The sequence below is a fragment of the Homo sapiens genome, chromosome 15 (assembly GCF_000001405.40).
Source record: "Homo sapiens chromosome 15, GRCh38.p14 Primary Assembly".
In the NCBI taxonomy this organism is placed as follows: Eukaryota; Metazoa; Chordata; class Mammalia; order Primates; family Hominidae; genus Homo; species Homo sapiens.
In genome coordinates, this window is record NC_000015.10 from 39,575,999 (window position 1) to 39,602,472 (window position 26,474).

Sequence of the window (26,474 nt, forward strand, 5' to 3'; positions counted from 1 at the left end):
GAGGAATTTCAAGCATGGGTAGAGAGAGAAGAAACTGAGAGGCAAGAGGTATGGTTTGGACTCATCAAATTAAATCACAGGTGACTTTCCAGTCCCCCCACCACCCCGATCTGTAAGGCTGCCTTTGGGTGCGTGGCCTTCCTGCAAAATGGCAAACACTTGAAAAAGCTTCCACGCTGAAACCCAAACCAGACCATATTTAGGATGCCCCATAAGGTGGCATTTTTTACTAAGATGATAAAGGATAAACATTGGTGGAGCCAGAGAGGCTGCTCCCAAATACAGTCCTCCCCATCAGCAACACTGCAGTAGCCTGCACCTATCGTCCAGAGTATGAAAAAGACTTTTGCCAAAGACGGCTTTTGGGGATTTATCATTATTACATGTTAAGAGCCTGTTCTCCATGTCCTCACCTTCCTACCTTGCTAATCTTCCCCATTTCCATCTTTCGGCCCAGTGTGAGACCTCACCATCTCCTTTTCCCATCTTCTTTCCTCCATACCCTTGGTTTCCTAGCAGGTCAATGCCCCTGCCCCTTCACTGGAATCCATCCATCCTGGTTATTCTTTTCTTTATGAACCTGCTGGACTACATCTCAAAGTTACCCAAAAGAGGGATACAAAGACACAATAAAATCGGAAATAACGCTCACCCTTACCAGCCTGCAGTTAAGAGTGTGTGGAACTAGGGTGGCTGCAGGCAAAGAGATAGGGGGAAGGGCTGCCTCATGCCATGGGCAGGACAGTAAATGGTGCAAATTTTCTGGAAAGCATCTTAGTAATATAGGTGAAGAGCCTTTACAATGTGTTTATCCTATGACCTATCCTTACTTCTCTTATTCTAAAGGAATAAGAAGAGGTTTAATCAAAGCATGAGTGAAAAGGCCATCCAAACACAGGGAAAGGGGCCGTTATGATGTCTACGGTTCTAAGAAATAGAAAACAACAACTTGGCTTAAATAATAAGCACATAACCAAAGAAATCTAGAAGTAGGATTCCCTTAAGAGTTGAGAGATTTAGCAGCTCAAAAATGTGACCTGACATACGAGTTCTTTCTATGCTTTTGTTCTTCCTCCTCCAACACTGGTTTCACACTAAACTTGGCTCCCCAGTGGCCAATAGCACCAAACAGCACTTATCGGCATTCTTGTTGGTATCCAAAAGAGATGGAGAAAGCCTGATTTCACATGGCTCTTCCTTAAAAGCAACAAAGGACTTTTCCCGGAAGCCTTCAGCAAACCTCGTCAGATTTGAATCACATGCCAATTCCTAAATCAGTCACTGGCAGGGAAGTGGGAAAAAGGGGAGGAGGTGTTTACCCTTAACCAATATGCCTACCCCTGCCCACTGAGATCAATTCCATAAAAGTATTGCTTCAGTTCTTTGAAGAGGAGTACAATGTTTGTGAGTCACTCACCACATTTACCCACCAAGAGCTAAGGGATAACTGAGTAAAATGGTAGAGCTGGTAGGAAAATGGTGAGTAGTCCCGTCCTTCTGTGCCATAATTGACTTGTACACAAAGAGATTTGGAAATTTAAACATAAGAACTCTCTCTTCCCAAGCCCAGGGCTTTGGGCACTTCAAGTCTGGTCCTTGCCTGGGCACAGTGGCTCACGCCTGTAATCTCAGCAATTTGGGAAGCCAAGGAGGGTGGATCACCTGAGGTGATGAGTTTGAGACCAGCCTGGCCAACATGGCGAAACCCCAACTCTACTAAAAAATACAAAAATTAGTTGGATGTAGTGGCACACGCCTGGAATCCCAGCTACTCAGGAGGCTGAGGCAGGAAAATCGCTTGAATCTGGGAGGCAAAAGTTGCAGTGAGCTGAGATTGTACCACTGCACTCCAGCCTGGGAGACAGAGCAAGACTCCATCCCACCCCCCACCAAAAAAAAATTCTGGTCTTTACATGTGAAAAAATAAAAGCTAATTTTTAAAAACTAAATAATAAAGAGTGTTAGGTGATAAGTTTTATGATAGAGATAATGTGTGCTTTAAAACACACAGCATAAAACAGATGGAAAACACCTCATGGAGAAGGGAGAGCTTGAATTGGTGTTTGATTGAAGGACAAGAAAAATCTGTTGGTAACTTCCTCCTGGCTCTGACCTCTGATGCAGTTAAAGTAAAGCAACTTAGAATTATGATCTAGGGAACATATTCAGAGAGAAATGAATTTATGATGTCTTCAATTTGAAGATGCTATGATTTTAGACTATTCTAGAATACAATGATTTTTCATTGCTTCACACTTGTAAGAAATGTTCCACTACTGAAAATTTGCAACACTTAAAAAATTCCTACACAAAATCACAGCCCACCTTGCTGTTCTATGCTAAATAAACAAAATATTTTTTCTCAATTATGTTGCTCTCCTTAATTACACGCAATTTTAAAACTAGCTGTAACTGACAGCCCTTTCCTCACACTTACTGCCAATGTATTTAGGTCAATCCCACCTCCAATTAGAGAAACTTAGAAAAAGGAAATCCTACGGTGAAATGCCATATGCCTTACAATTTTCAGTAACTAATCCTCAAGGATGACAACTTGGCAAAAAAGAGAACTGGACCAGCTCCCTGAAAGGTCCATCACTTCGGCCCATGTTAATTGATTGCCTTAAAATCACAGTGCTTCCAGGTTGTAGAGACACACTCAAAATGGACTATTGCCCTCACATTAAAGGGGATAGGTTTTCTTTTCCCTTTTCCCATCCCTGCTTCTCTCAAAGCTGCACAGAGGTATATGAGGTTTGGGGAATATTTGCAGCACATGTTGGCTGGCAAGAATGTGGGTGAATTCCTGTTAAGGGGCGCAGACACTCCCTCTTCTATGACCTTTCCTTTCCACCCAGAACAACTGAAGTATCATGATAAGAGGAAGGGCTTTGTGTTTGAGATAAGCAGCTCCTATACCTGTCAGCTTTCTCTAATAAGAAAGCTCTTTCCTGCCACCGTATAGGTCACCTTCTTATTGGTAAAGCATGATGAAGTTTGGAAACTGTTGTCCTTGTTTTGTTGAAAGAAGCCAAGTTCCAAGAAATCTGCAGAGGCATTCCTACAATCCCTCAGCCATGGCAGCATGAATCCTGAAGGGGCAGTGAGTGCTGGTTTCTACTCTGTCTGCACAGCTAAGCCTAGGGGAGATAATCTTTTCATACAAGATGCATTCTGCTTTTGTGGGCCTCTTGCAGCCCTCAAGCCCCCATCTGATTTGTACACAATGATCCAGTGGGCCAGAGGAGCCCAGAGCCATGAGCGGCCCATCCCTCCAAGAACTATTTCTGACTGTCCAGTATCATGGAGCAAGTGGAAAGAAGAAAAAAAAAACCCAATTACTTTTCGAAGAGCAAGATGAATGCTGTAGAAGGAGAAGGAAGGGGAGGGAGATGGATGGGTGCCGATTCCAGAATCTTCAGATCTGCTTGGATGAATCATTACCTATGATTTGCGGGACAAGAATCTGATTTTATTCATCAACCAGTAGAAACTTTTCTTTCTGCCTCCCAACATCTGAAATCCAACAAACATGTGCCTTAGGAACATACCGGTCATCTTTTAGAGGCATTTTATATACATATTGAGTAACTAGAAAACACTCTTTCCGTAATACACACACACACACACACACACACACACCATCTTGTCATACAACACTCCCACGCAAGAAAAGCGAAACTGCTGTTTGATGAATGTAAACACTTGGCTGTTTGCAGCAGTCGGGAGTCCTGCCAGGTTTAAGTGCTAAGATGGGAGGTGAACCCCAGGGGTTTCCCCCTGCCCGTGCTGAGATCCTTATTTGGTCAAGCTTCTACCTATGCCCTGGCCTCGGAGCGAGCCCGATAGCGCTGGATCACAGCAGAGGGAGCGAGGCGGCTGACGTCCCATCCCGAAGAGATGAATGGAATTCCAGGAAGCTAGAGTCATGCTGGCTTGGGACAGTGGCTTGGAGACCAGACTTCAATGACAGAAGCACTAGGCAGCGGCACTCATGGCAATGTGTGCACCCACAGAAATGTAACCCACACCTCGGGTTCAGGAGCCGAAAAATGAAAAGAACGTTTAGGGAGGAAAAAGGGAAATACAATAATAGGCAGAGAGTAATTTATTACTCTATGGGTCTGCTCTGTAAATAGCTGAAGACTCTGGAGCCAGATGGTTCTGCAAATTCTCCAAACAGGAGTCACGTTAAGAAGCACGAGTGGGCACAAAAACTGTTTTTCAAGACACAATTTCAATTTGGCTTGTGGAAACTGGATACGAGTAAGTTTCCTTAAAATTCGAGTAGAAAGCAGCTGTCCTCCCCGGGCCCCTTGATGAGAATACGCACACCGCCCCCAAGCGGCCGGCCGAGGGAGCGCCGCGGCAGCGGGAGAGGCGTCTCTGTGGGCCCCCTGGCAGCCGCGGCAGGAAAGGGCCCGAAGGCAGCGAAGGCGAACGCGGCGCACCAACCTGCCGGCCCCGCCGACGCCGCGCTCACCTCCCTCCGGGGCGGGCGTGGGGCCAGCTCAGGACAGGCGCTCGGGGGACGCGTGTCCTCACCCCACGGGGACGGTGGAGGAGAGTCAGCGAGGGCCCGAGGGGCAGGTACTTTAACGAATGGCTCTCTTGGTGTCCCCTGCGCCCCGTCGGCCCATTTTTCTTTTTACAAAACGGGCCCAGTCTCTAGTATCCACCTCTCGCCATCAACCAGGCATTCCGGGAGATCAGCTCGCCCGAAAGCCCCTGCGCCACCCCGCGGGCCCTCCTAGGTGGTCTCCCCAGCCCCGTCCCTTTTCGGGATGCTTGCTGATCACCCCGAGCCCGCGTGGCGCAAGAGTACGAGCGCCGAGCCCGTGCGCGCCAAGGCTGCGTGGGCGGGCACCGACTTTTCTGAGAAGTTCTAGTGCTCCCAAGCCCCGACCCCCGCCCCCTTCACTTTCTAGCTGGAAAGTTGCGCGCCAGGCAGCGGGGGGCGGAGAGAGGAGCCCAGACTGGCCCCCACCTCCCGCTTCCTGCCCGGCCGCCGCCCATTGGCCGGAGGAATCCCCAGGAATGCGAGCGCCCCTTTAAAAGCGCGCGGCTCCTCCGCCTTGCCAGCCGCTGCGCCCGAGCTGGCCTGCGAGTTCAGGGCTCCTGTCGCTCTCCAGGAGCAACCTCTACTCCGGACGCACAGGCATTCCCCGCGCCCCTCCAGCCCTCGCCGCCCTCGCCACCGCTCCCGGCCGCCGCGCTCCGGTACACACAGGTAAGTCGCCCCCGGCGGCCGCCGAGGACCAAAGCTGCCCGGGACATCCACCTGGAGCGCTGAGGCTTCAGTCCCTCTGGTGGACCCCGGAACCTACACTCTCCCCGCTCGCCTACCCCAGCCCGCTCCTCTCAGCCGCTGGAGGACTCTTCAGGGCAAGGCTCCAGAGCCATCCTCTCCAGCCTTGAGGTTCACAAACCAACTCATCAGGACACCCCAAGATTTCCTTACTCTCTGAAGTCCTCCTTAAGCCTTTGTATCAGCACTCCAGGGAAGAGTCTGTACTTCCCCTGCCCTCCCTGCAACCCCAAACTACAGTTCCTGATCTTGCTCACCTTCGACTTCCCAAAAGCCCCCAAATTGTTGGTCTTGCGCCCCCCACACTTTAAAACCAGCATCTCTTTCCTCCACCTCTCTCTCTCTCTCTCTCTCTCTCTCTCATGCTCTCTGGAAAGTAATCCTGTTGTCCTTCATTTCAGCAAACGCGGGGTCAAAGAGGGATGGTCCCGGCCCTGTCCCCATGCCCAGCCCCGTTTCTGCGCACCGTCCCTCCCTGCCTAGCTGATCTCTGACCCTCGGCTCTTGTGCTTCCTGCTACAGGATCCCTGCTGGGCACCAACAGCTCCACCATGGGGCTGGCCTGGGGACTAGGCGTCCTGTTCCTGATGCATGTGTGTGGCACCAACCGCATTCCAGGTGAGTTTGTGTGGCACCTTTAGGGGAAGGAGGGACAAGGAAGAGGTGCTGGCTATCCCAGGTGTGCCCCCTCACGTGCTGTCCTCTCCCTCTTGAGCCTGACTGGACATCAGGACGCAGCTTCACTCTGATCCTGGTATTTATTCACCTCTTTCAGTGGTTGCCAGGAGTTTTCACCCCAACCCTTTGTCTCCACCCCTAAGGACTCAGCCCCCTACTGCTGGTCCCAGCCTAGAAAGCTCACTTTGTGTTCTCTCCTGTCTAACAGAGTCTGGCGGAGACAACAGCGTGTTTGACATCTTTGAACTCACCGGGGCCGCCCGCAAGGGGTCTGGGCGCCGACTGGTGAAGGGCCCCGACCCTTCCAGCCCAGCTTTCCGCATCGAGGATGCCAACCTGATCCCCCCTGTGCCTGATGACAAGTTCCAAGACCTGGTGGATGCTGTGCGGGCAGAAAAGGGTTTCCTCCTTCTGGCATCCCTGAGGCAGATGAAGAAGACCCGGGGCACGCTGCTGGCCCTGGAGCGGAAAGACCACTCTGGCCAGGTCTTCAGCGTGGTGTCCAATGGCAAGGCGGGCACCCTGGACCTCAGCCTGACCGTCCAAGGAAAGCAGCACGTGGTGTCTGTGGAAGAAGCTCTCCTGGCAACCGGCCAGTGGAAGAGCATCACCCTGTTTGTGCAGGAAGACAGGGCCCAGCTGTACATCGACTGTGAAAAGATGGAGAATGCTGAGTTGGACGTCCCCATCCAAAGCGTCTTCACCAGAGACCTGGCCAGCATCGCCAGACTCCGCATCGCAAAGGGGGGCGTCAATGACAATTTCCAGGTGAGGCTTCTTCTCTGAGCCCTGCTCCGTGGGATCATCTGCTAGACAGGTGACCTGCCAGGAGGGCTACAGGAAATCCTGTCTGTAAACTAACGCAGCAGTTCTCAGATTTTAGGCAGCATGAGCATCACCTGGAGGGCTTGTGAAAGCTCACCCTGCTGCACCCCAGCCCCAGAGTCTGGGATTCTGTAAAACTGCAACTCTAACAAGTACCAGGTGATGCTGATGCCGGTGGTCTGGGAAGCACACTTTGAAAACTACTCAAGGAAACAAGAAATGGTTTTCCTTTAGCAGTCAGCCTGTTCAAGCCTTAGATACTCCTTAGGCTCTTAAGAAAAGAGCTTATTTCAAATGCATTCCCCCAATTTTAATCTTGTTTGAAATGGATACTTTCTATGGGCAGAATCAGTACCACTTTGCTATTGGATTCCTCATGGGGATGCAGCTGGTCTCACATAAAAGGTTAAAATAGCAGTTAGTTGTTGCTGTTACAGCTTCATCTGTGCCTTAACTTCTAGATCTTTGCAACGGTGGCTTTGAACTCCCACATTTAACTCTTTGACACTGGAAAGTGTCATTATATCCTCTAGGCTTAGGATCAGATTCCATTTCCTGTGTACCCAAGTAGGCTGATAACTGAATTCTTTGTAAAATACTCAAGACTTGGCAGAAGTCACAATTAAGATTTTGAAGTTGTTTGGCGATTAATGTTGCTGTGTTATTTTGACATAGTGATCTTAAGACAGCTCTTTGAAGCTTTTAGAACATCTATTGTATGCTTTTCCTAGCATACAGACAGTCTCCCCCAACCCCATCCCCACCCCGCTCTGCATTCTACAAGTAATGTGTGTCCTCTGCCCACAGGGGGTGCTGCAGAATGTGAGGTTTGTCTTTGGAACCACACCAGAAGACATCCTCAGGAACAAAGGCTGCTCCAGCTGTGAGTACCCCTCTATTTTTAGGGCACATAGGGAATCAGGGGGAATTCCACCAAAAACAAACTGAGGAATTTAGCAATAGTGGTTATACATAAATTACCCCCAGTGAGATCATCAAGAGGCATACAGAAGTGACTCCAAGGGGTATTATACACACACACGTATACACACGTGCGCATACACGCAACCCCTCTACCTGCATCCTTCACACCAAATGAAACGTCTTCTACCACTAAGAACTCAAGAGGCTGGTTGGTAAGAGTATCTATTTGAAGTTTTCATTTTGTTTCTTGCCAGCTACCAGTGTCCTCCTCACCCTTGACAACAACGTGGTGAATGGTTCCAGCCCTGCCATCCGCACTAACTACATTGGCCACAAGACAAAGGACTTGCAAGCCATCTGCGGCATCTCCTGTGATGAGCTGTCCAGCATGGTCCTGGAACTCAGGGGCCTGCGCACCATTGTGACCACGCTGCAGGACAGCATCCGCAAAGTGGTCAGTGGCCTCTGCACCCAGCCCGTTAGCATGAACCCTGGAAGGTTTATCGCAGATGGTCCCAAATGACTGAAAATGCGGGGGGACACTAATGATATTCTCTCCCATTTAGACTGAAGAGAACAAAGAGTTGGCCAATGAGCTGAGGCGGCCTCCCCTATGCTATCACAACGGAGTTCAGTACAGAAATAACGAGGAATGGACTGTTGATAGCTGCACTGAGTGTCACTGTCAGGTAAGGGACCTTCACCAGCCAGAATAAGAATCGACGGCTTTTGTTTGAACCTACATCTTTGGGGAAATACCCTAATCGCCACAGAGATTCTTTTTATGTTCCATGGCCTGATAACAAAGTGTTTTTTTTTTCTTTAAGATGCAATTATGGCATCTATAAGTTCTTCTTTAAACTCTCAGATGGTTTATCAAAGTATTAATTATACCCCAGGCTAAGTATCTAAGAGAATGAATCTACTAAGACATCTGAATAATTTACCTACCTTAGTTCAAAGACTAAGTGTTGAATGTCAGGTAAATAAAACCTGGTTGGAACATTCATTTTTTTTTCCCAACCCTGATTTATATTCAGCTTTGGCATAGGTTCTTTTAGTACAGTAGCAATTGTTTTTCAAATCACTTAGTCTGACACTGTTAGGATGTTACTGTCTGCTTTGCTCAGATGGCACTGCCAGGTGTGTGATTCACTCTAGCATCCCCGCATGCCAGTGGCCAGTGAGTTTGGAGGTTCACCTGGCTTATCTATTAATAGCAAAGTATTTGAATTTGCTTAAATACAAATCACAGATGACTGGCTGTGGGAACCAACTTCATTAAATTCCCTTTCTTTTCCAATATAAAGACAGATCACAGATCTATAGATGAGGAAAAAGTGCTTATAGATCTTCCTTCCTCCCCCCAAACACATAATATAAAAATGTAAAAGTCCTGGCTGAATTTTCTGAGTTTGATTTCAGACATAGATTTGACCCATGATGTTTGTTGGTTCCTCTGCTATAAATTCTTTGTACTGTAACTTCCACCCTTGACTAAGTAGCAATTAAAAAGAACTTTCCAAGGAATGGAGTGACACGTAAACTAGCACTAGAACTGTCTCTACGATAGTGGTGGCTGCAAATATGACAGAGACAGATCTATGAAAATCATTCCACTAGAGCATTGACAGCCCTGACCATGTTTTGGCTTGTAAAGGAAATGTTACAGGATGTAGACTTCTGTATGCAACATGCTCAGCAGCCTGTTCCCCTCTCACTCTCTTGCCCTGCAGAACTCAGTTACCATCTGCAAAAAGGTGTCCTGCCCCATCATGCCCTGCTCCAATGCCACAGTTCCTGATGGAGAATGCTGTCCTCGCTGTTGGCGTAAGTTTCTCAAATGGCATAGCTATTCTTCAGTGACTAGGTCAGTTCTACATACATCCTAGACAGCCGAGCACAACACTGGAACCCCACCCCCATCTCCATCATGCTTCCATTCAGTTTCTTGCTGCAGCAGCTGGTTAACTGACAGCTTATCTGCTGTACAGAGCCAAAACTCCATTATGAGTACATCGTAATTACCCATCTGGATTGCAGTAATGGCAGTGAAGATCTTGGTATAGCTCATTAATTCTGATTTTTTGCTTTGAGGAAAAGAGATGAAGACGTGGCAGCAACAGCTCTAAGTTGACTGCTTTTAGAATTTGACCTTAGTGGCACAGAGTTAAGAAAAATCTGCTCACCAGAGATATTGACAGGCTTACTGTGTAAGCATTGGCCTGATCGGGCCTGGAAGTTTTGCCCCTTTCATCTGTAGGGATAAGAGGGCCTAAGAGAATAGCAGCAATCTGAGCTCTAGAGCACCAAAAGAAATAAGGCACGATATCGTTCCATGGCACGTTATCCCTGGCTTTTGTTACCAGTAAAATGAATGACTTTGCTGAGACAATACTTAGTGTAGCAGGTACAAGTTATAAAAGTGATTCATTACAACTAAGATAAGGAAGAAAACAGGAAAACAGCACTTGCCCTTCACACACACAGAAACACACATGCACACACACACAAACACACCCTTGTCACAGCTCAGAATAACCAATTCCATCCAGGGATCATATTAGCGATATTGGCACTGTAATGGTCGTTTTTACATTTATTTTCTGTTCCGCATTCACTTAACATGTGCGTTAAAAGGAACAAAGCTAGCTGGAGGTAGCAAAGTTTTGAACTTGAATCAGGGATTGCTAAGAAAACTTACAACTAATGACCACAGAAAGTAAGTTCTTTGTCTTCTGTCTGATACAGCTAGATGTGATTGTAGCCGTGGTGCCTGGGCAGATGGTAAACAAACATGCTGTCCTCTTATGACAATATGTGCAGAGAAGGCCCCAAACGCTGGGGTGAGAGGAACAACAAACTGACTAACTCACGGCCGAGTTGGAGCCAGAACCAACAACAGCTCGGCTGCCTTCACACTCATCTGTCAAACACATGGTGTATGGCTCCCCTGACAGAAATGACTCCTATAAGCTTCCTCATACTCGCGCATTCTTGGAAGTCTGAGACTGGAAATGCCTACCCAGATATGTTAAGTCAGTAAAGGAAAACTCATTTGCAATGCTGAGAGGAGAAAGAAAATCAATGAATAGGAGAGCATACACTGTGGGAAGGCTCAGCTGTACTGAGCCAGGCAAAGCATCCGATTACCCCACTGCTGTACACATCATGACCTGGGATAAACCCCTGGGCCGTTGGCCTAAGAAATATGTTGCTTTTCATCCTGTATAACTGCAACTTTGTGCCGGCTCATATTATGTTCTAGAGAGCTCATGTACACCATGGTGACCATAGTTAATAATACTGGATTGTATGCTTAAAATTTGCTAAGAGAGTAGATCTTAAGTCATCACCAAAAAAAGTAACTGTAAGATGATGGAGATGTGTTAATTAGCTTGACGGTGGTAATCACAATATATGTGTATATCAAAACATCACATTATACACCTTAAATGTATATAATATTTGTCAATTATACCTCAGTAAAGCCAAAAAGAAATAAATATATTGCTTTTCACCCTCTGGCAAGTGGAGGGCCCTGAACAGAGCCCTCTAAAGAACAGCTTGTCCTAATCATCACGTACCTGATGAACCTCTGTTTCCCCTGCAGCCAGCGACTCTGCGGACGATGGCTGGTCTCCATGGTCCGAGTGGACCTCCTGTTCTACGAGCTGTGGCAATGGAATTCAGCAGCGCGGCCGCTCCTGCGATAGCCTCAACAACCGATGTGAGGGCTCCTCGGTCCAGACACGGACCTGCCACATTCAGGAGTGTGACAAGAGATGTAAGCATCTTAGCCTCTCAGGGACGTGGAGAACTGACCTGTCCTTGTTGTCGTCACCAAGGGCAGCTCCACAGCATGTATATTAAGAACACGGGTTCTAGGATCTCTGGATCCCAATCCCACTGCTTAGCTGTGCACCCTTGAACACAACTTACCCTCTCTGAGGCTCTTTCCTCATTTGCAACTTGGAGATAATAATAGTTCTTGATAAGTTTATCTTGAGCATTTTATTTAGATACTGCATGTAAAGCAGTTAGCACTGAGTTTTGGTTTATGGTAAGCACCCTGTAAATGTTAGGATATTAACAGCAACCCATAAAAACAGCGAACTTATCCGTTCTCTGGTAGAAAACATTCCATGTTGACATTTGGGCATGTGGCCAGGAGCCAATTTCTACCGTACACTGGGTTTAGTTGCCATTGACCATTTCCTGGAAATACTTCTGCGTGCTCCTGATGGGAGCCTCTATTTGGCTGTCTCTAAGCCAAAACCATTTGTGACCATCAACTCTGTACTTTAGTTAAACAGGATGGTGGCTGGAGCCACTGGTCCCCGTGGTCATCTTGTTCTGTGACATGTGGTGATGGTGTGATCACAAGGATCCGGCTCTGCAACTCTCCCAGCCCCCAGATGAACGGGAAACCCTGTGAAGGCGAAGCGCGGGAGACCAAAGCCTGCAAGAAAGACGCCTGCCCCAGTAAGTGTGAGGTCCGCTGCAAGGGTGAGCATGGGCAGCAGCTCTGCCCAGCTGGTTGCCTGGCATCTGCAGCCTGCAGTTCAGTGGGTCATAGAGCAGGAAGGTTACCTACTAGAGAAACAAACAGAAGCAAAGTCCTGCAGGCTCAGCAACTTCTTTTAATGAAAAACAAACTCACCCTCTTCCCCAGCATTCTTTCCATGTGTCAGAGAAGCAGAGGTTTCTTGAACGGGCTTAGGAGAGTCTATGACAAGGGAGGGATTTGAAAGTTGATCTTAATTGTTGCCTGTGGTTCATCTTCTTACAGTCAATGGAGGCTGGGGTCCTTGGTCACCATGGGACATCTGTTCTGTCACCTGTGGAGGAGGGGTACAGAAACGTAGTCGTCTCTGCAACAACCCCACACCCCAGTTTGGAGGCAAGGACTGCGTTGGTGATGTAACAGAAAACCAGATCTGCAACAAGCAGGACTGTCCAATTGGTGAGCCACGCAGCCCAGGATGAAACGACCCAGGAGCTTTGCTCTTTTACTGAATGCTGCAGTCAGCATTCGAGGAGATTCCAGCTTGGTTAGTCCTGAGCGATTTGATTGCTCTAAGATGCAGGTGGACAACATAATCCCAACAAGTTATCGGTTCCCTATACCCTATAATATCTTACACTGTGTTAAGTGCCCAGCATGGCAGTATGGCAGCTTAGACCAACCATTTACTGTGACTGTCTCTCTCTCCTTGTCTCAGATGGATGCCTGTCCAATCCCTGCTTTGCCGGCGTGAAGTGTACTAGCTACCCTGATGGCAGCTGGAAATGTGGTGCTTGTCCCCCTGGTTACAGTGGAAATGGCATCCAGTGCACAGATGTTGATGAGGTGAGGAACTGATGGGGCTCCGAGTTTCTGGATCTAGGAAAGCAGCTAACCTGTGCAGTCGCTTCCTTATGGCAGTGACTTCTAAACATGATGCACGCTCTTATTTCCTCCATAGTGCAAAGAAGTGCCTGATGCCTGCTTCAACCACAATGGAGAGCACCGGTGTGAGAACACGGACCCCGGCTACAACTGCCTGCCCTGCCCCCCACGCTTCACCGGCTCACAGCCCTTCGGCCAGGGTGTCGAACATGCCACGGCCAACAAACAGGTACAGTCAACTAGACGAGTAAACCAGAGGACAGGAGAGCTGTCCTTGACCAAAATAACTGGGAGCGGGAGGAATGTAATTTCATACCCTTCACCAAAAAAAAAAGGGCGAGGAGATGAATGTACGGTCTAGTTTTAGAAACGTGATTAGAAAATCCATGGTAAATCCTGCAGGGGAAAAACAGTCTTCCATATTTAAAAATGCTGCTCTGGAATAAGTTGTGAGCAGATGGACTTGTAAACGCCTAGGTGCTGAGCAAATTCAAGAAAAATAAACATAAAGCAAAGTTTGCTTATAGCCTCAGGGAGAATGGGGAGGGACAGAGGTAACCCACACTCTTCCAAATGGAGCCTCTGTCTACTCAGAGATGACAGGGATCTGGATTCTTGTTTCCATGATATCTGAGGATTCTCAAAAGCTCTGTGTAACAGCAGCATGGTGTACCCTCAGGTGTGCAAGCCCCGTAACCCCTGCACGGATGGGACCCACGACTGCAACAAGAACGCCAAGTGCAACTACCTGGGCCACTATAGCGACCCCATGTACCGCTGCGAGTGCAAGCCTGGCTACGCTGGCAATGGCATCATCTGCGGGGAGGACACAGACCTGGATGGCTGGCCCAATGAGAACCTGGTGTGCGTGGCCAATGCGACTTACCACTGCAAAAAGGTAGAGCCAGGTCCTTTGTGTGCCTCCAGAAAGAGGGCCCATCACCTTATCAAAACACAGGCTAAGGAATTTTAAATACTTAAAGTTTGGACATGAAACTGAAAGATTAAATCTCCCAAAGGGAGAGGGGCACTAATTCCTATTAAAATTAAATCACTTGGTGCCAAAAACATGAACAGGGCTAGCTCTTTTTGGGCAACTGTGTTCCATAGTCAACTCTTCTGTCCAAAAAAAAGTTCAGTACTCTATCCAAATACCAGCAAAGCATGACTTGTGTTCACAACATCTATAAAGCCTAGAGCATTTACACAAATTCTGTATGTATATCCCCCAAGAAAAGTTTTATTTTCTTGTCTTCCCATAAAAAAAATATGCTGTTACTGAGCCAAATTCTGTTCTTTTTCTATTTGGAATTCCAGGTACACTCCCTCGTGCATGAGCTCAGCATGAGGAAGGCAACTGAAGCAGTGATATATATCTTCTCTTTCCTAGGATAATTGCCCCAACCTTCCCAACTCAGGGCAGGAAGACTATGACAAGGATGGAATTGGTGATGCCTGTGATGATGACGATGACAATGATAAAATTCCAGATGACAGGGTAAAAACAGTTTTCTATCCCTTTTTCATCTTTTCAGTTCAGCAACAGCCTGAAACACTTTGGGATTCAAGGAAATTACATGGCTATAGCAAAAAATATACCAAATCAATACACAGGATAATTAGAAATTATTCATTGTGTTCCAGTAGTTTAAGGATGTAGATGTTGCCAAGAGAATTTTTAAATGAGGGTTTTGTTTTTCATCAGAACTGTTTTTCTCTGTACTTGAGAAATTATAATGCATAAACAAATGCCACTTTGTTCCCTAGATTCATTTCAAATGTCACATCGAAATTACAGTAAAATTGACTTTGGGCACACTATGAACTGAGATGATGGGATTATATTCTACATCTCACTAACTTCTAACCCACAGGGATCCATTTTTTTAACTATGTCCTTTTAACTTTTGTAGTGATCGTTTTACACTGAGTGATCAATTAGCCTATCCACTAGGTAGAAAGTATTGCTGATTTTCACAGTTTTAGACATATTATGCACATGGTTTGAGGCTTGAGCTGTTTTCAAGGACAACATTGTTAAGTGCTCCATTTCTTCTCTTTGCAGGACAACTGTCCATTCCATTACAACCCAGCTCAGTATGACTATGACAGAGATGATGTGGGAGACCGCTGTGACAACTGTCCCTACAACCACAACCCAGATCAGGCAGACACAGACAACAATGGGGAAGGAGACGCCTGTGCTGCAGACATTGATGGAGACGGTAAGGTGCTGCCTGATCAGAGGGCCCGCGGGAGACAGGGACATGCACAGCTTTCCAAACGTACTTCTGTCTAGTCCTGGCTATTAGTATGCACTTTGGTGGAAACATCCAAGGCTGGAGAGCCCAGCTCTTATTTGTCCCTTGTTCTCTTCAGGTATCCTCAATGAACGGGACAACTGCCAGTACGTCTACAATGTGGACCAGAGAGACACTGATATGGATGGGGTTGGAGATCAGTGTGACAATTGCCCCTTGGAACACAATCCGGATCAGGTAGGTGGATGGACTCCTTTCAGAGTCTTTCAGTAAACTGTTGGAATATCCCTTTCATGGCCTTTGAAAAATGAGCTTAACAAAGTTCAAACACTTTCATTACTGTGGCTCCCTGGCTTCTCATAGCCAACTGGAATACGTTCATGTAAATAATTTGCCTGATGTGAGCTCCTTGCACAGAGTCTCACAGATCTTTAGCATGAAGATCTGGTAACTTCAGTCTTACCTTCTGTAAGAAGGGCTACTGGACTTGCTCAGCATCGTCTACCATTGTTAAGACAAATTATACAAAGCAGACATCTGTGACTGACAACTGTACAATAATATTAATCATATGTAATACTAAGAGATGGAAAAATAAATGTGCATAAGCAAAATAACCATTTTCATGGCTAATGATGTAATCTAGCTATAAGAAAATCATCAAACTAAGGATACATCCAAAACCAAAGTAATTTATCCCTGTCATAAACATTACCCAGACAGTATACAACACAGGGACCAGTGGTCTGTTTCCATCTTTTCAGGACTTTTCAGAGAAGTCGACGTGTCAACAGTTTTACAACTGAAACCTTCTAAGGAAATTCTCTGTTATAAAGTATCCAGAAAATTTCATTTAACATTAAGATGTAAACAGTTAACATTTCATTTCATCTTTAGTAATTAAATATCACTCTATTTGACCTTATTTAGAAAGTTTTATATGTAAAACATTTTTAAATTATCCCTTCTCAGATTTTTATACGAAAACAAAGATAAAGGAAAAAAACTTTTAAAATGTAATTGCTACTATTGCTATCTTTCTGCAGGAGTGTGTAAATAGACATGACACCCCACTGGCTGTATCAAACAATGGAGAATTTTCCCTGTGGTGGGGGCATAAGTTATCTTTAACATGAATGGTTTATACTGCAATTTACCCTCCATTTACATCTCTCTTTCAGCTGGACTCTGACTCAGACCGCATTGGAGATACCTGTGACAACAATCAGGATATTGATGAAGATGGCCACCAGAACAATCTGGACAACTGTCCCTATGTGCCCAATGCCAACCAGGCTGACCATGACAAAGATGGCAAGGGAGATGCCTGTGACCACGATGATGACAACGATGGCATTCCTGATGACAAGGACAACTGCAGACTCGTGCCCAATCCCGACCAGAAGGACTCTGACGGTGAGTCATGGGAGCCACTTTCTAAGACAGGGACTGCTGGCACAGCTGTGTAGATTGAAGAAATGAAACCAAGGCTCAAAGCATTTGACAGGATGAAGGGACCAAATGCCAACTTAGACAAGATAGTGACATTTCTGACACCAGTAATAATAATAGCACTTTAGAATTTTGCTGAACTCTTGCTTTTTTGACCTCAGGCGATGGTCGAGGTGATGCCTGCAAAGATGATTTTGACCATGACAGTGTGCCAGACATCGATGACATCTGTCCTGAGAATGTTGACATCAGTGAGACCGATTTCCGCCGATTCCAGATGATTCCTCTGGACCCCAAAGGGACATCCCAAAATGACCCTAACTGGGTTGTACGCCATCAGGGTAAAGAACTCGTCCAGACTGTCAACTGTGATCCTGGACTCGCTGTAGGTGAGTAGCGAGTTCTTAGATCCTAAGAGACTGATGCATACATGGGGAAAAACAAATATAAAACCTGGCAGTTGTACCTATCCCTGTGGGTGCTGAGGATGTCTAGGAACATGATGGAGAACCTTCTGAAGGCTGCAGGTTTTAACCTGGCTCTGGGCTCTTCTTCCAGGTTATGATGAGTTTAATGCTGTGGACTTCAGTGGCACCTTCTTCATCAACACCGAAAGGGACGATGACTATGCTGGATTTGTCTTTGGCTACCAGTCCAGCAGCCGCTTTTATGTTGTGATGTGGAAGCAAGTCACCCAGTCCTACTGGGACACCAACCCCACGAGGGCTCAGGGATACTCGGGCCTTTCTGTGAAAGTTGTAAACTCCACCACAGGGCCTGGCGAGCACCTGCGGAACGCCCTGTGGCACACAGGAAACACCCCTGGCCAGGTAAGAAGCAAAGCCCTGGAACAGAGAGAGAGCTTATGGGTGCCTGACTAGCACTGGGGATGCTGTGCTTTGACCAAGACTCTGACCAGGGAGTCTTAGAAAGTTCCCAGCATCACCAGCTGCAGCATTGAACTCTGCTTTGTAAAAACATAATAGTGTTGAAAAGGGAGCTTGACCAAGAATTGCCCTGCAAATCCTAAGGTGCCTTCAGCCTTTTCAAACAAAAAAACCTCCTTCCCTCCTCTCTGTCTGCTTTATATGTGTGCTCAGTGGCACACAACAAATATGAGAGGACTTGGAAAAATTCCCCATTGCAGCCCTCTAACTTAGATCAGCTCAGTACCTTTCAAGCATTGTTTCTGATGGAATGAAATAGAAATCTTTACCTGAAGGAGCTGTGTTTCAACCTTTCCTTTTCCTTTTCCTTCAGGTGCGCACCCTGTGGCATGACCCTCGTCACATAGGCTGGAAAGATTTCACCGCCTACAGATGGCGTCTCAGCCACAGGCCAAAGACGGGTTTCATTAGGTACGATCATACTGATTCACTTTCACTTACAGTCACACTGAGGGACAAAAAGACAAAAAGTATTAAATAGCATTGTCACTAAACAAGATTTTTTTTCCCTGCAGAGTGGTGATGTATGAAGGGAAGAAAATCATGGCTGACTCAGGACCCATCTATGATAAAACCTATGCTGGTGGTAGACTAGGGTTGTTTGTCTTCTCTCAAGAAATGGTGTTCTTCTCTGACCTGAAATACGAATGTAGAGGTAAGAGCAACATCACCATGAATGTACACTGGACATCTCTATTTCAGACTAATATCAAGGATGACGGTTATGGGGGAGTCCAGTGTAAAGACTGTTTTGGAGACAGGGTTATTTCTATTTTGCTTTTGAGGACACAAGGACAAAAATGGAATAATGCCTAGGCACTGTGGCTTATGAGTTCCTGAGTCCTTAGCTATAATATTAGTTTGCTTAGCAATCTCTGTGCTCCTCATACACAGTGCAAAGGTAAGCTGCAGAAAAGCTCCTATATAATTTGGACTTCATTAATAATACTGTTCTTTACAATTATATATTTATATATCTTACTGCTTATTGTTTTATGCATGCCATCACAGCACGAGTTAGCATTCCCAACTTTTCCCTGTATACAAAGAAGGGAGAGGAATGTTGCTTTCATATTGGCATGTTAAATTAATGTTCACTATTAAACTTAGCATTTTTTTTCCTCATTCTTTTTTACTTAGTCATTACTTAAGCTCGCTGAGTCCAACACTGGCTCTACCACAAAATAAGTGCTTAATATATATTTACTGGGCCAAGGCCAGATACCTAAAAGATCAATGACAGTAGAGAAAGATGGTTGATTTTACTCAAAAAAATCTAAATTATTAATGTAATTTTTGAGTCCAAATTTTTAAAATAAGACTCCCTAAACTGTTAACATTGAAAGCCTTTGGAAAGCATAATATATGTTCTGGAAGGTTCACGCTGTGTCGGTCTCCTAGCATCAATGTCAGCTAATAAAATTAAATGCTAATGTGCTTGAACAACCTTAAAATTAGGCTTTTGTCATTAGAAAAGTAGAGCTATTCCTATGTGGTTAACTTATTAACTAAGATGTCTATGCTTTTATGAATTAGTTTTCATTTGTATATTTATTTATATTTGTTTATTTAACAGATCCCTAATCATCAAATTGTTGATTGAAAGACTGATCATAAACCAATGCTGGTATTGCACCTTCTGGAACTATGGGCTTGAGAAAACCCCCAGGATCACTTCTCCTTGGCTTCCTTCTTTTCTGTGCTTGCATCAGTGTGGACTCCTAGAACGTGCGACCTGCCTCAAGAAAATGCAGTTTTCAAAAACAGACTCAGCATTCAGCCTCCAATGAATAAGACATCTTCCAAGCATATAAACAATTGCTTTGGTTTCCTTTTGAAAAAGCATCTACTTGCTTCAGTTGGGAAGGTGCCCATTCCACTCTGCCTTTGTCACAGAGCAGGGTGCTATTGTGAGGCCATCTCTGAGCAGTGGACTCAAAAGCATTTTCAGGCATGTCAGAGAAGGGAGGACTCACTAGAATTAGCAAACAAAACCACCCTGACATCCTCCTTCAGGAACACGGGGAGCAGAGGCCAAAGCACTAAGGGGAGGGCGCATACCCGAGACGATTGTATGAAGAAAATATGGAGGAACTGTTACATGTTCGGTACTAAGTCATTTTCAGGGGATTGAAAGACTATTGCTGGATTTCATGATGCTGACTGGCGTTAGCTGATTAACCCATGTAAATAGGCACTTAAATAGAAGCAGGAAAGGGAGACAAAGACTGGCTTCTGGACTTCCTCCCTGATCCCCACCCTTACTCATCACCTGCAGTGGCCAGAATTAGGGAATCAGAATCAAACCAGTGTAAGGCAGTGCTGGCTGCCATTGCCTGGTCACATTGAAATTGGTGGCTTCATTCTAGATGTAGCTTGTGCAGATGTAGCAGGAAAATAGGAAAACCTACCATCTCAGTGAGCACCAGCTGCCTCCCAAAGGAGGGGCAGCCGTGCTTATATTTTTATGGTTACAATGGCACAAAATTATTATCAACCTAACTAAAACATTCCTTTTCTCTTTTTTCCTGAATTATCATGGAGTTTTCTAATTCTCTCTTTTGGAATGTAGATTTTTTTTAAATGCTTTACGATGTAAAATATTTATTTTTTACTTATTCTGGAAGATCTGGCTGAAGGATTATTCATGGAACAGGAAGAAGCGTAAAGACTATCCATGTCATCTTTGTTGAGAGTCTTCGTGACTGTAAGATTGTAAATACAGATTATTTATTAACTCTGTTCTGCCTGGAAATTTAGGCTTCATACGGAAAGTGTTTGAGAGCAAGTAGTTGACATTTATCAGCAAATCTCTTGCAAGAACAGCACAAGGAAAATCAGTCTAATAAGCTGCTCTGCCCCTTGTGCTCAGAGTGGATGTTATGGGATTCTTTTTTTCTCTGTTTTATCTTTTCAAGTGGAATTAGTTGGTTATCCATTTGCAAATGTTTTAAATTGCAAAGAAAGCCATGAGGTCTTCAATACTGTTTTACCCCATCCCTTGTGCATATTTCCAGGGAGAAGGAAAGCATATACACTTTTTTCTTTCATTTTTCCAAAAGAGAAAAAAATGACAAAAGGTGAAACTTACATACAAATATTACCTCATTTGTTGTGTGACTGAGTAAAGAATTTTTGGATCAAGCGGAAAGAGTTTAAGTGTCTAACAAACTTAAAGCTACTGTAGTACCTAAAAAGTCAGTGTTGTACATAGCATAAAAACTCTGCAGAGAAGTATTCCCAATAAGGAAATAGCATTGAAATGTTAAATACAATTTCTGAAAGTTATGTTTTTTTTCTATCATCTGGTATACCATTGCTTTATTTTTATAAATTATTTTCTCATTGCCATTGGAATAGATATCTCAGATTGTGTAGATATGCTATTTAAATAATTTATCAGGAAATACTGCCTGTAGAGTTAGTATTTCTATTTTTATATAATGTTTGCACACTGAATTGAAGAATTGTTGGTTTTTTCTTTTTTTTGTTTTGTTTTTTTTTTTTTTTTTTTTTGCTTTTGACCTCCCATTTTTACTATTTGCCAATACCTTTTTCTAGGAATGTGCTTTTTTTTGTACACATTTTTATCCATTTTACATTCTAAAGCAGTGTAAGTTGTATATTACTGTTTCTTATGTACAAGGAACAACAATAAATCATATGGAAATTTATATTTATACTTACTGTATCCATGCTTATTTGTTCTCTACTGGCTTTATGTCATGAAGTATATGCGTAAATACCATTCATAAATCAATATAGCATATACAAAAATAAATTACAGTAAGTCATAGCAACATTCACAGTTTGTATGTGATTGAGAAAGACTGAGTTGCTCAGGCCTAGGCTTAGAATTTGCTGCGTTTGTGGAATAAAAGAACAAAATGATACATTAGCCTGCCATATCAAAAACATATAAAAGAGAAATTATCCCTAAGTCAAGGGCCCCCATAAGAATAAAATTTCTTATTAAGGTCATTAGATGTCATTGAATCCTTTTCAAAGTGCAGTATGAAAACAAAGGGAAAAACACTGAAGCACACGCAACTCTCACAGCGACATTTTCTGACCCACGAATGATGCCTTGGGTGGGCAACACGATTGCATGTTGTGGAGACACTTCGGAAGTAAATGTGGATGAGGGAGGAGCTGTCCTTGCAATGTTGAGCCAAGCATTACAGATACCTCCTCTTGAAGAAGGAATAATAAGTTTAATCAAAAAAGAAGACTAAAAAATGTAAAATTTGGAAGGAATCCATAAATGCGTGTGTGTCTAAATACAAATTATCATGTGAAGAAAAGGCCCAAGTGTACCAATAAGCAGACCTTGATTTTTGGATGGGCTAATTATGAATGTGGAATACTGACCAGTTAATTTCCAGTTTTAATGAAAACAGATCAAAGAAGAAATTTTATGAGTAGGTTAAAGGTCTGGCTTTGAGGTCTATTAAACACTAGAAAGGACTGGCTGGGTGAGATAAAATCTTCCTTGTTGATTTTCACTCTCATTCTATAAATACTCATCTTTCTGAGTAGCCATGATCACATACAAATGTAAATTGCCAAATCATTTTATAGTACCAAGGTGAAGAAGCAGGAACTAGAAAGTGTTGATAATAGCTGTGGAGTTAGGAAAACTGATGTGAAGGAAATAATTCTTTGAAATGGCAAAGAATTAAATACCATCATTCATTATCAGAAGAGTTCAACGTTTGAAGTGCTGGGAGATAATTCTAATTCATTCTTGGATAGTGAAGCAAAACTGATTGAAAATACCAAGATAAGACAGAAAAAGTGACTGGAAAGAGGAGCTTTTCTTCCAGGCATGTTCCAGTTTCACCCTAAGACTGACCTTCAAATAATCAGGTTGTACTGAAATAAAGGACTTGTTAAAAATTAAAATTATGTCATCGAGATGATAGCTTTTTTCCTCCTCCAACAGTTTATTGTCATGTGTTGTGGGAGAGCTCGAGTGAAGAGCAATAAACTCCAGGTCTTATAAGAATGTACATACAATAAAGGTGGTGCCAGCAGTTTTTTTTTTTCTAAAGAGTCACATGTAGAAAAGCCTCCAGTATTAAGCTCCTGAATTCATTCCTTAAATAAATTGGCTCTCTCTCTCTTCTATAATTTCTTTTTCTTTTTATTTTTGAGATGAAGTCTTGCTCTGTCGCCCAGGCTGGAGTGCAGTGACACAATCTCGGCTCACTGCAACCTCTGCCTCCCCGGTTCAAGCAATTCTCCCTCCTGCCTCAGCCTCCCAAGTAGCTGGGACTACAAGCGCCCGCCACCAAGCCTGGCTAATTCTGTATTTTTAGTAAAGACGGGGTTTCACCTTGTTCCGGACAAACACTAAGCCCTAAAGGGAAATCCAAAATAAAAACATCTATTTTTAATAACACTTTCTATCTAAATCAGGGTGACTTTTTAAAAAAAATCCGGAAGCTTTTTGTTGAATTACGTTACAGACTTAGTTACCAGTCCTTGTTAGAGTTACCTTCAGTTGACATGCTGTGAATGGTCCCACCTCTTTTATGGCAGAATTCATTACTTAAAATAACTCTATTTTCTTCCCCCTTACCTAAATAACAGAAAGGCTCACTATGTCCCAAATATCATTGGCAGAAGCAAACTATAAAGTCATAAGCCCTTTGCAGTGCAAGTCTAGAAATAATTTTACTCTGTGTTTCTTTCTGTCTCCCTCTTCCCTCCCCTTTTTCCTTCCTACCCTCCCCTCCCCTCCCTCCTCCTTCTTTCTCTCTCTCTCTCTCTCTCTCATACATACAAACATCAAATACCAGAAAAGCATAGATTTAGAAAGCTGAACTCCTCTGAAACGCTGACGGACAACACTGGCCCCTCTCTGCCCCACAACAAATTCTCACCCATATCACCTTTGCCCTCTGATTCTTCCCACCCAAACCCTAAAACACAGAGTGTGCCTCATGGCATTCCTATGAGAATCTAAAATCACAACTTTTAACTTATACTTCCATCCCACAGCAAAACTCTTGGCATCAAGATAAATTATACGTAGCACATTGACATCAGCATGAACAATTGCTATTTTAAATGAACAAATAGTAAACTGAAATAGTGTCTGGAAAAAGAAACTGCCTATCAATACCTCTGAAAATAGTAGCTATAGAATTCCTCATTTTAAAAAGTCAAGGAAATTCCATATAAACAATCATTAATGTTATTCAGTATCAGTGGATGAACATGTGCCAGCAAAAACAATGTTATGTATACATCACTCAAATTTTATTAAAGGCAGCACAATAGCCCGCTCATTTTTTGATTCAGAAATAAACTGGACTTCCAATTCTAATGCCAACTCATCTTATGGAATGTCAACACAAAATTTTCTCATGAATCTAAGTTACTGACTTGTAACTAAACCATCTCTCTTCAAATAGTACCGCAGACTGTCTTTTAAAGTAGCTCATCTTTATTTGATGCAATCTAAAAGGCCCAAACTCTGAAAGAAAATAAGAAACTATTGTTAACTATTATTAACAAAGTAATATATCAAATAATTCACTCAAACTCCTACTTAAGAAACGTGTCATCACCAATAAGATAGTAAAGGCTCTTCTAATATTGCTTTGTTGAGACAATTCATTTCATCTTATGGCAGGTTGTACCAGTTTCACAGACATGAGACAAGTGGGAAGAAGGAAAAGCAGGGCCACAGCAAAAATTCCCAGTGACCACCATGATCTGTCTGAATCACAGTAGAGGTGAAACATACAAAATTGAATACAGGACAATCACAGCACTTCAACGAGTTTTACCCTAACACGTATACATTAAAATGTTGGTTTTTATAATGAATCCTAATACTGTAAGATTAGCAATAAATTTATAAACAATGGTCCCAGAAATTTTAATGAGCAAAAACCACTGAACAATTACACCCCAAGTCTCAAAAATATCAAGGAAATATAATCCACAAAGAGCGACTCCAAATGTCAAAATCAATAAAGAATAGTCTCTGCAGTGCATTCATTGAATTCAAATAATTCAATAAGAAATTTAATTTAACTTCATTACCAACTTTCTGAAAAGCACACCCAGCAAGTCCTTGATTAGGGTTCTTTACATTCTTCTGCTGCATCTTTAGTCTCCTGCTCATCTGCACATAAAAACAATAACCACAGTTATTAGAGATTCAGAAATGTATGCATAATTAAGAAAAACAACTCAGCCTATAAAATATTAAATCCCTTTACACATGAGGCAATAATCACACTCTCATTTAATACTTACTGAACAGTCACCACGAGCTGCAGACAAAGTTTACGAGAAAAATAGAAAGATCAGGGCGCCTACTCTCATTGAGCTTACAGCTCAGGGAGAACACTACAGGTTTTGGAGCTAAAATGATTATGGATGTGGAGACACACACAGAAGTTAATATTTTGCTTTCTACTAAGTTTCTGGGAAGTACAGTGAGACCAAAAGTAAATGTTATATGTAGAATAGATAAGAGCTGATCGCCTTTCATTTCTTGAAGTGAGAAAAAAAATTGTGACATTAACAGAAAAGGAATGGAAATATTTTTCTACCCTTGGTGAGAAGGTTATCAGAAAATGCAGAATTGACAATAGAACTAAATTTTAAAAAGACAAAGAGAAACAGGAGAAACTGGAACCTTCATGCACGACTGGCAGGAATGGAAAATGGTGCAGTAGCTTTAGAAACAGTCTGGCAGTTCCTGAGAAGGTTACCATAGACCTGGCAATTCCACTTCTAGGTATAAGCCCAAGAGAAATGAAAGCATACATCCATACAAAAACTTGTACACAAGCGTTCATATCAACATTATATGTAATAGCCAAAAAGTGGAAACAACCCAAATGTCCATCAAATGATGAATGGATAAGCAAAATGTGATATATCCATATAATTGAGACTTATTCAACAATAGAAAAGAGTGGAGTATGGATACATGCTACAACATGGATGAATCTTGAAGACATAATGTAAGAAGCCAGTCACAAAAGGCCATATGCCGTATGATTCCATTTATATGAAATGTTCAGACTAGGCAAATTCACAGAGACAGAAAGACTGGTGATTGCCTAGGGCTGGGGTTGGGGAAAATGGGAAGTGATTACTAATACCCAAAATGTTGCGTTGTCGGGGGTGGAAAAAATAAAAAATTGATAGTGGTGATGGAGGTACAACTCTGTAAATATACTACAAACAATTGAATTGCACACTTTTAATGGGATGAATTGTAGGAAGCTGGTGAACAGTGGCTCCCCAAAACTCACATCCTCATCCCTGCAACCTGTGAAAGGGGTCTTTCTAGATGCAATTAAATTAAGCTTCTCGAGATAAGAAGATCATCCTGGATTCTCTGGGTGGGCCCTATATTCAATAAGAAGTGTTGTTATACAAAAAAGACAGAGGGAGATTAACACACACAGATGGAGGGAGGCAATGTGAAGACGGAGGCAGAGACTGGAGTGACGTGGCCACAAAGCCAGGAATGCCCATAGCCAGGAGAAGCTGGAAGAAGCATGGAAGCGTTCTAGCGTTCTCTCCTAGGGCCTCCAGGTGGCGTGTGGCCTTGGTGACACCTTGATTTCAAACTTCTGGCCTCCAAAACTGTGAGAGAATAAATTTCTGTCATGGTAAGTTGTTGTGACAACCATAGGAAACTAATACAAATA

The 26,474-nt window shown here is 43.6% G+C and overlaps 3 protein-coding genes and 1 long non-coding RNA gene across 11 annotated transcripts in view, besides 4 other annotated features; 3 read left to right on the plus strand and 1 right to left on the minus strand.

The window, feature by feature from the left end:
* Positions 1-3,808: 3,808 nt before the first annotated feature.
* Positions 3,809-4,996, plus strand: LOC124903470 (uncharacterized). Its single transcript, XM_047433405.1, has one exon. It carries the CDS (start codon positions 4,320-4,322, stop codon positions 4,752-4,754), a length of 435 nt encoding a protein of 144 aa, XP_047289361.1. The 5' UTR covers positions 3,809-4,319; the 3' UTR covers positions 4,755-4,996.
* Positions 4,172-4,909: an enhancer, noted in NCBI's record as "NANOG-H3K27ac-H3K4me1 hESC enhancer chr15:39872371-39873108 (GRCh37/hg19 assembly coordinates)". NCBI's record gives its function as "activates a minimal SCP1, AML or CMV promoter by ChIP-STARR-seq in primed H9 embryonic stem cells {active_cell/tissue: H9 hESC(primed)}" and the evidence as "EXISTENCE:reporter gene assay evidence [ECO:0000049][PMID:30033119]".
* Positions 4,332-4,561: a silencer, noted in NCBI's record as "silent region_6310". NCBI's record gives its function as "represses an Ori minimal core promoter by ATAC-STARR-seq in GM12878 lymphoblastoid cells {active_cell/tissue: GM12878}" and the evidence as "EXISTENCE:reporter gene assay evidence [ECO:0000049][PMID:35858748]".
* Positions 4,572-4,621: a silencer, noted in NCBI's record as "silent region_6311". NCBI's record gives its function as "represses an Ori minimal core promoter by ATAC-STARR-seq in GM12878 lymphoblastoid cells {active_cell/tissue: GM12878}" and the evidence as "EXISTENCE:reporter gene assay evidence [ECO:0000049][PMID:35858748]".
* Positions 5,081-23,468, plus strand: THBS1 (thrombospondin 1). Of its 3 annotated transcripts, none has more exons than XM_047432980.1 (22): positions 5,081-5,230; positions 5,710-5,926; positions 6,195-6,754; positions 7,619-7,694; positions 7,990-8,189; positions 8,302-8,424; positions 9,472-9,565; positions 11,349-11,522; positions 12,044-12,220; positions 12,528-12,701; positions 12,961-13,088; positions 13,204-13,356; positions 13,807-14,025; positions 14,518-14,625; positions 15,193-15,352; positions 15,507-15,625; positions 16,570-16,804; positions 17,002-17,229; positions 17,399-17,670; positions 18,101-18,198; positions 18,303-18,442; positions 19,364-23,468. In XM_047432980.1, the coding sequence occupies exons 2-22, from the start codon at positions 5,860-5,862 to the stop codon at positions 19,369-19,371; spliced, it is 3,513 nt and encodes a 1,170-aa protein (XP_047288936.1). In that variant the 5' UTR covers positions 5,081-5,230; positions 5,710-5,859; the 3' UTR covers positions 19,372-23,468. The 3 variants fall into 3 exon arrangements, with proteins under 3 accessions (XP_047288936.1, NP_003237.2, XP_011520273.1); NM_003246.4 differs by having other exon boundaries at positions 5,831-5,926; XM_011521971.3 differs by lacking the exon at positions 12,528-12,701 and having other exon boundaries at positions 5,831-5,926.
* Positions 10,128-11,255, plus strand: THBS1-IT1 (THBS1 intronic transcript 1). The gene has a single exon (NR_186398.1). It is a non-coding gene; the product is annotated as a THBS1 intronic transcript 1 (long non-coding RNA).
* Positions 17,401-18,600: an enhancer, noted in NCBI's record as "MED14-independent group 3 enhancer chr15:39885600-39886799 (GRCh37/hg19 assembly coordinates)". NCBI's record gives its function as "activates an origin of replication core promoter dependent on BRD2, BRD4, P300/CBP and CDK7 cofactors, and independent of MED14, by STARR-seq in HCT116 cells {active_cell/tissue: HCT116}" and the evidence as "EXISTENCE:reporter gene assay evidence [ECO:0000049][PMID:35650434]".
* Positions 21,442-26,474, minus strand: part of FSIP1 (fibrous sheath interacting protein 1) — a 185,402-nt gene continuing 180,369 nt past the window's right edge. For 5 of the 6 annotated variants that reach the window (NM_001324338.2, NM_152597.5, XM_011521306.3 and 2 more), the window contains one exon: positions 24,033-24,928. In NM_001324338.2, the coding sequence (NP_001311267.1) occupies positions 24,882-24,928 (47 nt within the window). In that variant the 3' untranslated portion in view covers positions 24,033-24,881. Of the gene's footprint in view, positions 24,929-26,474 lie in introns of all 6 variants that reach the window. The other variant, XM_011521305.4, reaches the window with a different exon arrangement.